At 41.5% G+C, this 16,972-nt stretch overlaps 1 protein-coding gene across 5 annotated transcripts in view; it reads right to left on the reverse strand.

The window, feature by feature from the left end:
• Positions 1-16,972, reverse strand: part of AAK1 (AP2 associated kinase 1) — a 185,743-nt gene that overhangs the window by 38,448 nt on the left and 130,323 nt on the right. For 3 of the 5 annotated variants that reach the window (NM_001426746.1, NM_014911.5, NM_001371575.1), the window contains exons 14-16: positions 12,787-13,016; positions 10,977-11,134; positions 9,125-9,229 (exon numbers count right to left, since the gene is read on the reverse strand). In NM_001426746.1, the coding sequence (NP_001413675.1) occupies positions 9,125-9,229; positions 10,977-11,134; positions 12,787-13,016 (493 nt within the window). Of the gene's footprint in view, positions 1-9,124; positions 9,230-10,976; positions 11,135-12,786; positions 13,020-16,972 lie in introns of all 5 variants that reach the window. The other 2 variants (NM_001426745.1, NM_001371577.1) reach the window with 2 other exon arrangements.

Below are 16,972 nucleotides of genomic sequence, written 5' to 3' on the forward strand. Positions count from 1 at the left end.
ATAAAGACAGGGTTTCACCATGTTGGTCAGGCTAGTCTTGAACTCCTGATCTCAGGTGATCCACCCACCTCAGCCTCCCAAAGTGCTGGGATTACAGGCATGAGCCACCGCACCCAGCTCAACCTGGTCCTTGCAACATATTATGAGATGCAATTAACAATAAAACCAGGGTATTCATATGTCTGAAATTCCACTCCTTTCTTGGATATACTGCAGTCTACAGTATCTCTTTCAGAATGTCGAGAGGAGGTAATGTCCATATCACACATTTTAGCACATAAACAGATATAACACTATCTGTTTTGTAATCTAGCATGTGTATAGGTACTTCCTATGTATCTATCACCCTCTTGAGGTCCTTTAAGGACTAAGTCCTACTGTATCACCATGATGTCTAATATAGTGATAGGCAGACACACAGAAAGGGGCAGAAATAGACTTCTTGCCTATTCCAAGGTTAGACAAGCCCTAATCTCTGTACTATACTTAACATACTATTGGCATTCATTCTATATTTGGCAAAATATAGATTTACAGAACTCTATACACCCTATGGAATAACAGAGCTTGACGTGGTCTCAGAATTTTCTGGCACAATTTTCTTATTTCCCCATAAAAGAAAATGAAGCCTAAACGTTAAAGACTAGCCAGAGGTAGGATCAGAAGCCAGGTTTCTTGGTTTCCACTTTATCATTCTTTTTATTTTTTTTCTCCAAGAGACTGAGGTCTTGCTATGTTAACTAGGCTGGACTTAAACTCCTGGGCTCAAGCGATCCTCCCACCTCAGCCTAGTAGCCTAGTAGCTAGGATTACAGGCATGCACCACCACATGCAGCTTTACATTATCATTCTTTTTTTTTTTTTTTTTTTTTTTTTGAGATGGAGTCTTGCTCTGTTGCCCAGGCTGGAGTACAGTGGTGCAATTTTGGCTCACTGCAAGCTCTGCCTCCCAGGTTCAAGCAATTCTCTGCCTCAGCCTCCCGAGTAGCTGGGATTACAGGCACCTACCACCACACCTGGCTAATTTTTGTATTTTTAGTAGAGACGGGGTTTTACCATGTTGGCCAGGCTGCTCTTGAACTCCTGACCTTGTGATCCAACTGCCTCGGCCTCCCAAAGTGCTGGGATTACAGGCGTGAGCCACCGTGCCCAGCCATACATAATCATTCTTTACTTTGCATTTCAGTATTCAGTTTGTTCGTTAATTAAAATCTCATTTTGTTTGTCAGCTGTCTTTCTAGAAAAAAAAAAGCCTCATTTTGTTTCTATAAAGTGGGTTTTTAAAAAACGTTTTATTTTGAAGTAATACAGAACCACAAGAAGTTCCTGCACATACAGTCCTGTGAACCCTTCAACCAGCTTCCCCCAGTGGTGATGTCTTATATAAACTGTAGCCTGAGATCACCGACTCCAGCACAGTACCGCGGCCCTAGGCTCCTCAGTGCTCACCAGTTGTTACGTGGCCCTATTTGTGCATGTGTCTACTGTTCTTTTCTTCTCCCCTCAGTGCCGATGTCACCCATACCTCTGGCTCTGGGACCCCACCCACACCCTCTGCTCTGTTCTCCCTCCACCCCACCCCACCCCACCCCACTCATGTCTCTCTGCCTCTTTTCATCTCGCTCCCTGGACATCCCTGTCTTTCTCAATGACCCCTGAATCCCTCCTTCTCAGCCTGAGTGGTGCTGGGTTGAATTTGGAAATCATGGGGCTCAGCATCCCCTCTACTAATCCCCTTGGCCTGGGCCATCAAATGTGGGACATTTCTTTTCACCTCTCTTGGCCTCAGTGTTCTGTCTGTAAAACAGGCTTGTGGAGGAGTCAAAGTGCTGAGCATGTGTGGGCATCACTGGCAGCATCTCTGTGGGCAACTGGCTCTGATTTCCTTCTTTCCCTGTCTTGGACTTTACCTGTCTCTGAATCTTGGTCTCTCTCCAGTTCTGCCTCTGGCATGAGGAGGATGCTCTGGGGTCTACTGGGCAGCTGTGATGACATGGGAGAGTTTCCACCCCACCCACCTCTATTCCACATTTCTCGTAGTCAGTGGCTGACCGGGCCTCTTTCTCCCCACCTCCCCTGCCCCCGAGAGCCCAGTGCCCCAGTCCCTTGCCCTCGCCTACTCAGTACCCAGCATCTCTTGAATACACTCTGCCACTGTCACAGCAGCCACCTCTGCCACCCTTAATGCTACCTCCTCAGGGCACGCAAGATATAGTCTGAGATGCATGATAAAGTGGAAGGCAAAGGTGGGATTGCTGGATGGACCGGCGACATTTCCAGTCCCTGGAATCTGGCCGCCTCCTTTACATCCTGGCTTCAAAGACATACGGCACCTGCTTTCACTCCAGAGGCCCTTGAAATGTGGGAACCCAGTGCCCCAGGCCCAGATATGGAGGTGGTGGCATGTGTGATGCTTACCATTCCTCAGGTGTGCAGGAACTTCCCAGCCCCAGCTCAACTAGATGGGTAACAGGCAAGGGCCAATAGGGACAGACTGGGGTGTTAATACCCAGATGTGGCAGAAGGGAATGGGGAGGTGCAGTGGCATCCCCTTAGTGGGTAACCTCCTCCATCATCTCCACAGCCATGTCCTACCCAGTGGCCGGTCAGCCCCAGTGTGCCAGCAGCTGCTATCAGACCCAGCTCAGTGACTGGCACACTGAACTCTCAGGACTGTGAGTATCTGCCCTCTTCATCTCCAGGCCTGCCCTGGGAAGTGGGGATGGGATGGAAGGTCACCTCCAACCCCCACTGACACACTACTAACCCCACTGTTCTTTGGACTCTGAATTCCCACTCTCTAACCCTCAGCCCTTCCTTGGACTTCCAACACTCCTTGGGATCCTAATCTCACACCTTCCAACACTCAACTTCTTGGACCTTCAACCTTCTTCTAGGACCCCCAACTCCTCATTCAAACCGTATTTCTCAGCCTTTAAAGCACTCCCTTCTGGGGCCCCTAGTTCCCTCTGGGACTTTCACTTCCCCCAACCTGTGTGTATAGTTCTTCGCAACTTGATTCTCCGTATAGATTAGAATGAGCACCACTGCAATCATGATACAGAACTGTTCCATGAAACCAAAGACCTCCTCATTCTACTCCTTTGTAGTGACACCCACCACTTATTCCTGTTACTATTCTTTGGAAACCACTATTCTGTTCTCAGTCTCTATAATTTTGTTATTAAAGTGGGTTTTAAACTAAGTTTCTTTAAAGGTAGAAGGAGGAAAAGAAGGATAAAATAACTGCTTTTAAGTCCTTGAAATATTTTAAAACGACACAATGAAACATATTTAAAAGAAAAAAAGCAAACTGCAAAACTGAATATACGGTGTAAGTCATATTTGAAAAAAATTTATATGCAGAAATAAAATTCTAGATACAAATACTGTAAAATGTCAGCAAATGCTCTTCTCTCAAGGTGGGGTTATAAGATTTTATTTTCTTTACTTTGGGCCTTATTCATTTCTCCACATTTTTATAAATGAACATGTGTAAATTATACACAGGAAAACATATGAAAATAAAGAGGCACCATGTGAAGTTTTAAATGTTTGCCTGTTTCTCCTCCAATGTATAGACACAGTCTGTCATTTTTGCAGCTTTTACCATACAAATGTTTAATATAGCCCCGTGCCATCCTCCCGAACCCATTATGACATTTCCTGCTTAGTTTCTCCTTTGATCAATCAGAAGGTTTAAAATCTGTAAACAGTCTGAGTTCAGTTAGAAAATTTATAGAAAATGATGTCATCTTGCCCTTTGTACAAACGAGAGCAAATGAGTTCCTGGGATCTAGATGTAATTTTCTTTCATTTGTAAAGAATGAAGGTGTCACAGAAAAGAAACATTTACACTGCAAACAAGAGAGAGGGGAAAATATCAAATGTTGATAGAAAAAGACCAGATAAACTGAGGAAACTATGAAGACACTTTTTAATGTTTGTAAAAGCTTAGTGTTGCTGGTTTATGAGATTCCTGAGATGTGGTTATAACTACAGTTTTTGAGCTGGGCTACAGGTACAAATCTCTATTCTGTCATTCTCCAGCTGTGCCCTTGGGCAGGTGGTCTTTGTGAGGATCACCTGAGATAATGAGCAAGAAAAGTGCTTACCCAGTGGGTTTAACATGCCTCAAGTGCTTGATACATGTTCAATGTTATTACTGTCATAACTTTACTCAAATATGTGTTTGTAGCTGTGCCTTTAAGTCCCTTAAAATATATATATATATATATATATATATATATATATACACACACACACACACACACACACACACACACACAACCATTTGCAGCCTTTGGAGTAAATATAAAGTAGTGGAAAGGCAGAAACAAAAACAAAATAAACCTCATTAAAAAACAGCTCATACAAACAGTGAAACATAACCATGTGTAATAGATGAAAACTAGGCATTAAAACTGGGGTTGGTAGGGTGAGTAGATGGAAAATGATCAGGGACCTCGATTGTTAACGCTGCTGAATCCAAGGTCCTAAGCTTTGGCACAAAGCAACTCTTCTTATTCATTCAACACGTCTGTATGGAGCCAAACATCGTGCCAAATTCTGGGACTCAGCAGCAAAGAAGACTCTCAGGGCTTATTCTGTGACCCTCTTTCCAGACAAACTATATCCTACCCAGGTCCATGGCTAATCATCATTTTGATGTTCTATTTCAAAGACAACAGTCAATGCTTTACACATTTGATATGTTTGGTCAACTATGTGGCACATCAAACTTCAAGCAGCATGAACTGGTTTTGGAACATTTTCAAATTTCACCAAAATATCAATATACTTATACAATTTACACAAACAAAGCTAAAAGTGAAACAAAAATTTTTAACTACTTAATGATGAAAAGCATAACTCCAAAATAATAATGAGAATATCATACGAATATTTATGAGCTATGGTTAAGCTCCACAAAACCCCATTTTTTTTTTTACTAGGGAAATACACACTCATTAGAAAGCATTCTTAATAAACAGTGTAATCTTCAAAGGTTGAAGCGAGGCAACTGGAGAAAGAGGAAGGAGGACATTGGAATATTTTCACATGACAAAGCCTCCCTGAAGATTATAATTAGCCTCCCTCCCCACTTTTGTGCTGGGTGAAAATGACTGTCAAATTGTGAAGAAAAACTCACAGCCCAAGTACTTTATTTTTTAAAAAAGAATTTTAAAATATGTTACTATGTGTTCCTCTTAATATCACCAAATATAAGAAAAACAAGAAAATGGCCAGGCGAGGTGGCTCACGCCTGTAATCCCAGCATTTGGGAGGCCGAGGTGGGTGGATCACCTGAGGTCACGAATTTGAGACCAGCCTGGCCAATATGGTGAAACCCCATCTCTACTAAAAATACAAAACATTAGCTGGGCACGGTGGCGTGCAACTGTTGTCCCAGCTGCTTGGGAGGCTGAGACAGGAGAATTGCTTGAACCCAGGAGGCAGAGGTTGCAGTGAACAGATATCCCACCACTGCACTCCAGCCTAGGCAACAGAGCGAGACACCATCTCACACAAACAAACAAACAGGAAAATGTAATAAAGATAAAAGCAAAAGGTAAAGAATAAAAAAGAAAACAGAAGATTTTATAAATCTAAGTGTTGTCTCTGAAAATATAATAAAACATCCAACCTCTGGCTAGAGTTACCAAGAAAAAGAGGAACACAAATACATACAATTAAAATTAATGTACACAGATATTAAAAGATATATATATATATTGTTGTACTTTAATGAAAAATTTTAAAACTGCAGATGATTTTCTAGGAAAAGATAATATGTGACATATGAAGAATGCTTACAAAATGAATCTAAAAGGCAAAGGACACAAACAATACAATCTCAAAGAAATAAAAATGGGTCAGTAAATAAGGTTCTCTGGCTGGGTGCGGTGGCTCACGTCTGTAATCCCAGCACTTTGGGAGGCTGAGGCGGGAGGATCACCTGAGGTCAGGAGTTCAAGACCAGCCTGACCAACATGGAGAAACCCTGTCTCTACTAAAAGTACAAAATTAGCCTGGTGTGGTGGTGCATGCTTGTAATCTCAGCTACTTGGGAGGCTGAGGCAGGAGAATCGCTTGAACCTGGGAGGCAGAGGTTGCGGTGAGCCAAGATTGTGCCATTGCACTCCAGCCTGGGCAACAAGAGCAGAACTGTCTCAAAAAATAAATAAATAAAATAAAAATAAGGTTCTCTGTCTACAGTCTTTGGCCTGGGCTGTGCTGGCTGGGTGGAGAAATGGCAGGGAAAATGACTCTCATTCACTATTAATCGAAACAAAATTTATATAGCTTTCTTGGACTACAACTTGAAAATATGTATAAAAAACCTTAAAATATACATACTTTTGATTTAGCACATAGTCTCTTAGAAGTTATCTTAGAGAAACTGTAAAGGATATAAACAAAAATTTAGCTTCAAGAATATTTATATGGTGAAAAATTGGTAACAATGTAAATATTCATAAAAGGGGATATTAAATAAATGTTGCCATTCTTCCATGAACAATCATATTGTAGATTAATATTTATTGACGTGGAAACTGCTAATTTCCAGAGGACATTTAAAAATGAATAACAAACTGGGCCACAGACAGCCCTTCAGTATAGTTTACAGCAAAGACTGCACAGGGCATATTGGTCATAGTGCAATGAAAACATAACCTGAGTAACTTTTGATTAAAGAAAAAATTGAAACTTCTATTTAAAAATATCCAGATAATAAGAATAAGAGAGTATTACATATCAAATATTATTAAATGACAACATTCTATTCAGAAATAAATTTATGAGGTTAGAAAAACTACTAACATTCCTAAAGAAAGCAGGCAGAAAGAATATATGATAAGGTTAAAAGTAGATACTAATCAGTATAATTAAAAAGATCACTTTTAGAAGCATGCCAAATTCTACATCTTGTAAAGAATACTTTCAAAAGCTCACATTCATTGCTGAAGTGTTTATAATAGTAAATACTGGAATAAAGTTAATGTTAAAAAAGATGCAATTGGTTAAATACACTAGGATATATCATACATCTGGTGTATCCTAGAAGTTTTGTTTTTGTTTTTGTTTTTTTGAGACAGGATCTCACGCTGTTGCCCAGGCTAGAAAGCAGTGTTGTGACCTCAGCTCACTGCAACCTCTGCCTCCTGGGGTCAAGGGATCCTCCCACCTGAGCCACCTGAGTAGCTGGGGCTACAGGTGTGCGCCACCATGCCTGGCTAATTTTTGTATTTTTTGGCAGAGATGAGGTTTCACCATGTTGGCCAGGCTGGTCTCAAACTCTTGACCTTAAGCGATCTGCCCACCTCGGCCTCTCAAAGTGCTGGGATTACAGGTGTAAGCCACCGCACCTGTAATAATTTTTAAAAATTATACTTTAACAAAATTAGCTGGGCATGGTGGCACATGCCTGTGATCCCAGCTATTTGGGAGGCTGAGGCAGGAGAATCGTTTGAACCTGGAAGGTGGAGGTTGCAGTGAGCCAAGATCGCACCATTGCACTCCAGCCCCGGCAACAAGAGCGAAATTCCGTCTAAAAAAAAAAAAAAAAATTATATTTTAGGAGCTTCTTTAATGATGTAGGAGATATGTGCCAGGTTCATTAAGTGAAAAAATTAGGCTTCAAAATATGACTATAAAGATGCATATCAGGTTGGGTGTGGTAGCTCATGCCTGTAATCCCAGCACTTTGGGAGGCCGAAGCAGGCAGATCACTTGAGCTCAGGAGTTCGAGACTAGCATGGCCAACATGGTGAAACTCCATCTCTACTAAAACTACAAACATTAGCCGGCCATAGTGGCATACACCGGTAGTCCTAGCTACTTGAGAGGCTTGAGGCATGAGAATTGCTTGAACCTGGGAGGCAGAGTTTGCAGTGAGCCGAGACTGTGCCACTGCACTCCAGCCTGGGCGACAGAATGAGACTCCATCTCAAAAAAAAAAAAAAAAAAAAAAAGATGCATATCAGAGTCTCAGAGTCTTAAGCAGGGGGCCAAAGAGTGTACAAAATTGTGGTCATATGGCTGGGCATGGTGGCTCACGCCTGTAATCCCAGCACTTTTGGAGGCCAAGGCAGGCAGATCACCTGAGATCAGGAGTTCAAGACCAGCCTGGCCAACATGGTGACATCCCGTCTCTACAAACATACAAAAATTAGCTGGGCATGATGGCAGGTGCCTGTAATCCTAGCTACTCTGGAGGCTGAGGCGGGAGAATCACTTGAACCCAGGAGGCGGCGGTTGCAGTGAGCCAAGATTGAGCCATTGCACTCCAGCCTGGGCAACAGAGCGAGACTCCATCTCAAAAAATAAAATTGTGGTCATGTGTATTCTGGTCAGGGAGACCTATAACTTTCATTAGATTCACAAAGATATCTGTGACTCTCAAAAGGTTAAATGCCTCTAACAGATATCAAGATAGTATCCCTAGACTATCTCTTGGTCGTGAGGTCATGGAGAATTTTAACTTTCTTCTCTATAAATTACTAACTTTTATATAATCAAAATGTATAATTTTTTATTAATAGAAGGGAAAAGTTTGTCTCTTATGATTGCTTCTATACTTTTAACAAAGTCTCATTTAAAAAAACCTCCCTCCTTTTTTAGAAGTCTCATTAAAAAATACCTCCCTCCTTCTCCCCAACAGCGTGCGTGCGTGTGCGCACACACACCCACACACACACACACACACACAGTTTAGAGGAGTGTTAGCTATAACAGAATATTTAATTTTTAAAATTCTTCAAGTAATCTCAGAAACCTAAGAAATTACAAGCAATGAACACTGGGTGTTTCTTAAATCTAGAAATATTTGTTTAAGACGTGCCTGTGGACTAGAGAGAACAAGTCCTGCATATTACTGCCAGACTGTCCTGCCACTTTAATTCAAAGTGGTTCTAGATCTTTATCCCTTTTTGATCAGAAAGCTTTTGAATTAAAAAAAAGTAAATTTTAAATTAAATAGACCATGAAAAACATATATATATATATACACGGTACTGCCAGGATTTGGATTTCACTGGCATGCTAGAGTTATCTGTGGAGTAAAAAACAGTGTGAAGGTAACAACAGTGAACCTCCCGTTCCAGGTATTTGCCATACTAACCAGTTCCAGCAGAAAATGAGGTCGTAGCAAAAGCATCACCTTGGGTTGATTGAAAGCCTGGGATCAAACTCTCAGCTGAGCCTCCAAGCTTCTCGGGATGTTTGCCTGGAGAGACAAAACACCACTCAGTTCATTCTAGCAGAATCTTGCGAGGCACACACACATGGCAGAGGTAAGGGGCATTCTCTGAACTGACTTCTGGACTTGACTACTTTTACTGCATTATGGCGACACATTCAAAGGTCCTTGTCTAGTCATTGCAATAACTGAGAGAACGGCTGAGAAAAAAAAGGAAATTGTTAAGAATCAAAAGAGAGCATGTCATCAGTTTTGCAAAATGAAAAGCGTTCTGGAGATTGGTTGGTTGCACAACAGTGTGAATGTACTTAACACTACGGAACTGCACATTTAATGCCTCCCGCCCTCACTTGTAATCTATTCACTTTATACAGCTCTAATGAGTTTGATGATCTGCTTTCCATGTTGGAAGCAGTTTAGGAGAGCAAATGAGAAGAGGGAGTGGTGGAGATGGCAATAATGAGACGTTATGAGGGACAAGCATAATGACAGTAGCTTAATGTGAAAGCTGACAGCTGAACAGTAAGAAAAGGGAGAGGAAATTATTAAAACTCAGGGGCTAGTTATTTGGGTACAAAACTACTACAATTTTCAGTAGTCTATAGAGGTATTTCTATTTACAGTCCAGAATAACAACTGGTATACATAACAATGAAACAAAGTTGCCAAAAAAGTTAAGTACTATGCCCTATCTTCTGTTTAAAAAAGCAAGAAAGTAATAGGAATTTTTTTCAACAGACAGGGTCTCACTCTGTCACCCAGGCTAGAGTGCAGTGGTAAATTCATAGCCCACTGCAGCCTCGACCTCTTGGGCTCAAGTGATCCTTCCACCTCAGCCTCCCAAGTAGCTGGGACTACAGATGTGTGCCAGGATGCCCAGCTAATTTTTAAAATTTTTTGTAGAGATAGGATCTTGGCATGTTGCCCAGGCTGGTCTTGAACTCCTGGGCTCAAGTGATTCTCTTGCCTCAGCCTCCCAAAGTACTGGGTTACGGGCGTGAGCCACCACACCTGGATTGGAGTTTTAAAAGATTTCTATAAAATGATAGTTAAAGCCAAAATGTTTGGCCAATAGTTCATACCACTCAATTGGTTCTCATCATTCCTTTATCCTGCGCCCTTATCTACATTGAGAGTACTTTTTATTAGAGTACTCTCTAACATTATTAGAATTATTAGAATTATGCATATTAGAATTTGTTCCAAAGTGTGTGCATGTGCCTGTGTGTGTGTGTGTGTGTGTGTGTGTGTCCTGCCTTCCAAAGTAGACTGTTCTTCAGGCAGAAGTATATCTTCTATTTATTTAATCATCTTTCTGTGTAGTACAGTAATACAGAACTCTGACTATAGTGAAAGAAAGATTCAGTGTCCATGTGAAGGCACATTCATGGACAAGCAGTGGCAACTTTCTGGGACAGTAAACCAACCTAGGATGAGAGAACCATCACACTCCTCCAAGGAGGGACCATGCCTGATGCTGTTATCCTGGACTATGTCACAAACCTTTTCTACAAGTTTCTTCCCTAAGCATCACACTCTCCTTGCTACCACCCACAATAGATCAGGATTTCCTGAAGATGAGGACTTCAGGGCCCATGGTAAAAATAAAAACTGACTTGTATGCATACTTTGAAATCAAGCCTTATGCAAAGGCCCAAGCCTACGTTTCCACATGCATACCCTTCTAGAGTTACGATTCTTTCTCATTCCTGGTTATTTCTTAGCACAGAGAATCTATAATCAAGAAGCACAAAAAAAGACACAGCTTACTCACCTTCCCCAAGCTTGGCAAAGTCCTTGTTTAGCAGTTCTTCAGCTGTGAGTTTGGAGAAATTATCGTCATCAAAGGGATTCCACGTAGACCCTTCTGAAGGATTATAAACGTTTTGTTGAGAGGTCCGAGGAGAGCCTGATGGAGTGGTGGTTGCAGACCTAGGTAGGTTCCCACCCCCACGAAACAAAAAGATATAAAAGTTGAACAAAACAAAAAGGGTCAACTTATTTTCTCTGTTTCAGAATCAAATTATTTTCTGGGTCAAACCATCATTTTCCACCACAGTATTTTTTTTTTTTTTTTTGAGTCAGAGTTTTGCTCTTTCACCCACGTTGGAGCACAATGGCGTGATCTCGACTCACTGCAACCTCCGTCTCCCAGGTTCAAGCGATTCTCCTGCCTCAGCCTCCCGAGTAGCTGGGATTACAGGCGCATGCCACCACGCCTGGCTAATTTTTGTATTTTTAGTAGAGACAAGGTTTCAACATGTTGGCCAGGCTGGTCTTGAACTCCTGACCTCAGGTGATCCACCTGCCTTGGCCTCCCAAAGTGCTAGGATTACAGGCGTGAGCCACTGCATCCAGCCCACAGTGTTTTCCTAAAAGGGCTTTCCACAGCACCTGAAGAATTTCCGCAGATACCCATTCCACTTTGTGAAATGAATGTCTCCTTTCCTTCATGACTCACTACCTCCCACTACTTCCTTAATCTCTTGCTTAAGTTTTCAGTCTTATCTGCAAGTTGTTTCAGTTCAGGATCTAAAAGCAACCTGTTCTTAGACTTGTGTATCTTGTGGTGACCACCATAACATCCACAATAACTGACCTCTGGAAGGGCAGGAAAGAGGTCTATTTAGGCTGCCTCTCATCTCTCAGGATCCAGCATGCATAGAGTTAAGGGCCACCATCACAATTAAAAAGAAATAAAGACAGTTACCACTACTTTGTGCATCTAAGTATCATTATATAATTTTCTTATAAAGTCTCTCTTAACTTCATTGAAAGATTTTAACTTTAGAGTGTATGGTTCTAAGACAGTTAAGGGTCTGAAACTGCATTTACTCAACACTCATCAAAATCTACTTGTCAGGCACAGAACCAGTCACTGGATTTCCAAAGGTTGACTAAGACATGGTCATTGTCTTGGAGAACTCACAAACCAGTTCGGTCAGACATACAAATAATTAACGACAACACAATGTCATATAAGCTCAAAAAAATGTTCAGACAAAAATTATACATCATATCAGAGGAAGGGTCAAGGAAAAGTCAACCTCTGACATGGATCTTGATGAATAAATGAACATTCCCTAGGTGGGCAAGGAGGAGCATAGCAGTCCCAGGAGAGGGCACAGGAGGAACAAAGGGCTCGGGAAGGTGAAGAATGGCAAGTCTGCCTGTGAAACACAACAGGCCCTGCTATGTTAAGCAGTGTGCTCAGCTATCATGAGGAGCCAGTGAAAGACTTTTCAGCGTGGAGAGACTCGGTCAGATCGAGAGTTCAGAAAACACACTGTAGAGCATGGAACAGGTGAGAGAATGAGAACAGTGGGCCAAGTAGGAAAAGATTTCTTAAGATTAGTATGGCCCATGCACTAAAGACAAATTCACAGCTGCTCATTAAACACAAGTACATGCAAGATGAAATGAGCCAGAAAAATAAACAAACCAGAAAAATAAACAAACACAAGTACACACCACTGTATTTGCATTACACACATCTACACACTTATGCAAAGAATCACACACTAACAGCCGCAGGCAGACTTTGCCCACAGAGGTAAGAACAACAAAGAGGAAGCACCACATACTTGGACTTATTGAGACTGGCCTCAGCTGCAGCTGCCTGGAGCAGCTGGGTTGATTTGCTGGCAGGGACCCCAAAGACTGCACTGTGGGTTACGTCACTGAGAATACGCCTGTGCCCAGCACGTTGGGTTTTGGGGGATGAGGGTGGAGTGAGAGATCCAACTTTCTGCCCCTGGACGGCAGGAGGTGGGGTTGTCTGAACCTTTGGCTGTTGTCTTACTGGGGCTTGAATCTGCTAGGAAGAGAGACGGAAAGTGTTTCATTAAATTAAAAAAAAAAGTTAAAGGAAAAACAAACAGATAAGTGTAACAACAACAACAAAAAATGCCACATAAGCACTAACATGAAACTCACATGGCTAAGTTTATCAATAATGCCCAGAAAGAAAAATCCAGGCTTTGACAATCTGTGCTGCAACTTTGAGACTGATAACAACATGGTATTTGCCTGATACACATAAATTTCAATCTTTATCAGCGATAATATATAGGGTAACCATATGTTAACCATATTCAGCTCAAAGCATAAGAATGCAGAAGCTATTCCAGCTGTAAAGATCTAGAATTTATCATAAAGGACCACTTTCTATTTCTGGAGTCACATACAAACTCATTCAGAATGCTTTCAAAGGGCAAGCAATAGATCCTATCACTACAGGTAAAGGCCAATGAAGACGTATCTCCAGCGAAACACATTTAAGCTGAATGATTTCTGCTAAGAGATCCCTCACTCTCTGCCATAGCGAGACCACAGGTTGGGAGTGAGTCAGAGAAAATTCTACTGTGATTAATAAATGTTACTGCTCGTTTGTTTTGAACTTTTATTTTAGGTTCGGGGGTACATGTGCAGGTTTGTTATACAGGTAAACAGGCAAACTCGTGTCACGGGGGTTTGTTGTACAGATTATTTTGTCACCAAGGTACTAAGCCTAGTACACAAGAGTTATTTTTTCTGATCCTCTCCCTCCTCCCACCCTCCACCTTCAAGGAGGCCCCAGCGTCTGTTGTTTCCCTCTTTGCGTCCATGAGTTCTCATCATGTAGCTCTCATTTGTAAGTGAGTGCATGTGCTATTTGGTTTTCTATTCCTCCAATAGTTTGCTAAGGATAATGGCCTCCAGCTCCAACCATGTTCTTGCAAAGCCTCCATCCTCCTTCTTTTTTATGGCTGCATAGTATTCCATGGTATATATGTACCACATTTTCTTTATCCAATCTCCCATTGATGGGCATTTAGGTTGATCCCATGTCTTTGCTGTTATGAATAGTGCTGCAATGAACATACACATGCATGTGTCTTTATGGCAGAACAATTTATATTCCTTTGAGTATACACCCAGTAATGGGATTGCTGGGTTGAATAGTAGTTCTCTTTTTAGCTCTGTGAAGAATCGCCACACTGCTTTCCACAATGGTTGAACTAACTTATACTCCCATCAAGAATGTATAAGCATTCCCTTTTTTGTTTTGTTGTTAAGGCTCTTTATTTCACTGATGGGATGGGTATATAAGATCCTATTTCTGTGGCAACTCCTAAGAAAATATGTAGCATTAGTTTAGTGGGATTAACTTGTTTCAATCTTCAGTTTGGACATAATATTGAAGAACTGGCAGAGAATATAAGAAGAAGAAAGAAAAAAAAGGTCCTGATGATGACTGAGCTAATAATACAAGGACTCTTGTGATGTGGGCCATTTTCAAAACAGGCCAAACTGCCACCACAGAACAACATACCGGTGAGAATATCCTTGTGACCACATGAGTGGTCCTTAAGCATAAGTCACCTATATCAAGGAAAATGAACAAAAAATGTTAAGAAAGCCACCCAACCCCTTTCCTTTACACTATCAACCTAGAGATAAAATAACTTTGGATATAAAATGCCCCAGGTATTTCACCATCCCTTCCCTCCAGTCCCTCTTCTCAGATTAGAGTTGCTGCTCCATGCTGCAACTCAGTTCAGCTGCAGTCTCAGTGTCTACAAAGGCAGGCCCTGAGACAGTTTAAGGAAACTAGACTATCCAGCTACCTGGGTCAGGATGCTTCTAGCTTGGGATATTGACTGCCCTCATCTTGTCCTCAGGACTTGGAAAATTTATTAAGGTAGACTATGTACACATGTCAGTATTCCATCCACTTAACCAACAGGCTGAATGTTACAATATAAGGTTCTAATATCAATCAGAGGTTAGAAGGGTAACAAAGCTGCCCTGCTGAAGGAGAGGCAGAGTGCTCTGTGAAGACAACCACAGCTCCAGCTCCACAACTTCCTCTGGGGGTCCAGAGTTGTGCCTGTAACAGCTGGCTGAATACTACCACACATAGGGGTCAGAGGGCTTTGAGGATACACTGAATGGGCTTATTTCATGAGACATTCATTAATCTGAAAAGAATACTAAACTGTTGGGTCCCTTTATTTTGAAGAGTCCAGTGACAACTCTATTCTGAGATGAAGGACTGGAGGGAAGGGATGGTGAAATCTCCAGGGCATTTTACATCCGAAGTTGTTTTGTCTCGAGGTTGATGGCATAAAGGAAAGGAGTTGGATAGTTTTCTTACCACTTGGAGAACATTTTTCTCTTCTGTTCTCCAGATGCAGCACACTGAAGATTAGATGCCTCCTTCAGGACACCTTGCCCTATAACAGCAATCTACAGACACTAAGTGGTTTGTATCTGTTCAGCTACGCCTCCCAGCAACCCTGGCAGACAGTTATACTTCCACTTAGAATCAAAGAATGTGAGAGTTTAAAGGGACCTTAGAAAATGCAGATTTCAACTCCTGCACTGAGGCCAAATGCTCATTCAAGGTCACAGGGTTAACTGGAAGCAGAGCCCATGTCTCCTGACTGTGGCTCAGGACTCTTTTCTGCCCCATGATGCCATCCCATCCAAACAGGATTGGAAAGTGGGAGGAGGGACAGAGAGACCACGGGAGAAGGAATAAAAAGACTCAGATGTCTATTTTGCTGACGATTTTTTAAAAATGTAATTATAAAAGGAGTATAATCACATCAAGAAATGTAAGAATATAGAAAACAGACTTCTATTCCATCACTCTAATACAACTAGATACAATCCTTATCTTTTTGGTACCTTATACTTTAAGTCTCTTTTCAAGTGTATAGTTTTTCCGTAATTTCACAATTCCTTTAACATTACCTCATGAGCATTTCTTTTCATACTGTTGTACAGACTTTATAACCGTGCTTTTTAATGGCTGCACAGTTGGGTTTCTCAGCAATTTAGGTTGCTTCCAAATTCTCTGGGCTATTATTAATAAGACTGCAATAAACATCTAGGGCAAATGGCCATTTCCCCTTTGCTAATTATTGCTTTAAGATGGCTACAGGGTACGCTTTACCTTCATTCACTTGCTTCTTTAGATTAGCCCTGCCAAGAGTCAGCGGAGACAAGGATGGGTCAAAGCTGAGAAGCTCTATGGCTCCTGGCCAAAGCATGGTCTATTTCTGTTTCCTCTCTGTCCCCAAAACCAACTATCCCAGAGCAAAGTGTTCAAAGTGTTTTTTCATCCAAAGAACACGGAGAAAGTTCATAATTCATTCCCAAGGGAGTAGACACTTTTGTGTAGGAGAAGCATAGGGGAACCTCATAAGAAGTGTAGTCAGTAGTAGTTGATCATTTTATCACCCTGGATGAGCATTTGTTATAATTAAACTTAAACACAGATCAGGATTCTTTGATTCTTGCCCCAGCTCCACTACCATCAGTTCGTATGTCTTGGGCAACCACTTTCTAGTCTATGCCTCAGTTTCCAATTCTGTAAAATGAGGAGGCTGAACTGAATAATTAAGGTCCCTTCTAGCTATCTCATGTACTAATTTTTTTAAAAACTCTTTTTCCATGAAGAAGAGGAACTTTACCTCTTGTTAAAAATACAGAGACTCACTGTCTACTCCATGCCTGCAGGAAGTCTGAGTTGTTTTAGAAACGAAGGTGTAAAGACACTAAACACACACTTAGCTAAGACTTAAAGAAGACAATCTACGGCACTGCTTCCTTTCGAAGCGATGTAGGTTTTCTGGTTTAAGATGGGAGACAAAACTCTATTAGAAATCAATCCTCAGAAAGATGGTTTCTTTTTTTTTTTTGAGATGGAGTCTTGCTCTGTGGCCCAGGCTGGAGTGCAGTGGCATGATCTCCACTCACTGCAAGCTCCACCTCCCGGGT

This window comes from Homo sapiens, chromosome 2, assembly GCF_000001405.40.
Source record: "Homo sapiens chromosome 2, GRCh38.p14 Primary Assembly".
Classification (NCBI taxonomy): domain Eukaryota; kingdom Metazoa; phylum Chordata; class Mammalia; order Primates; family Hominidae; genus Homo; species Homo sapiens.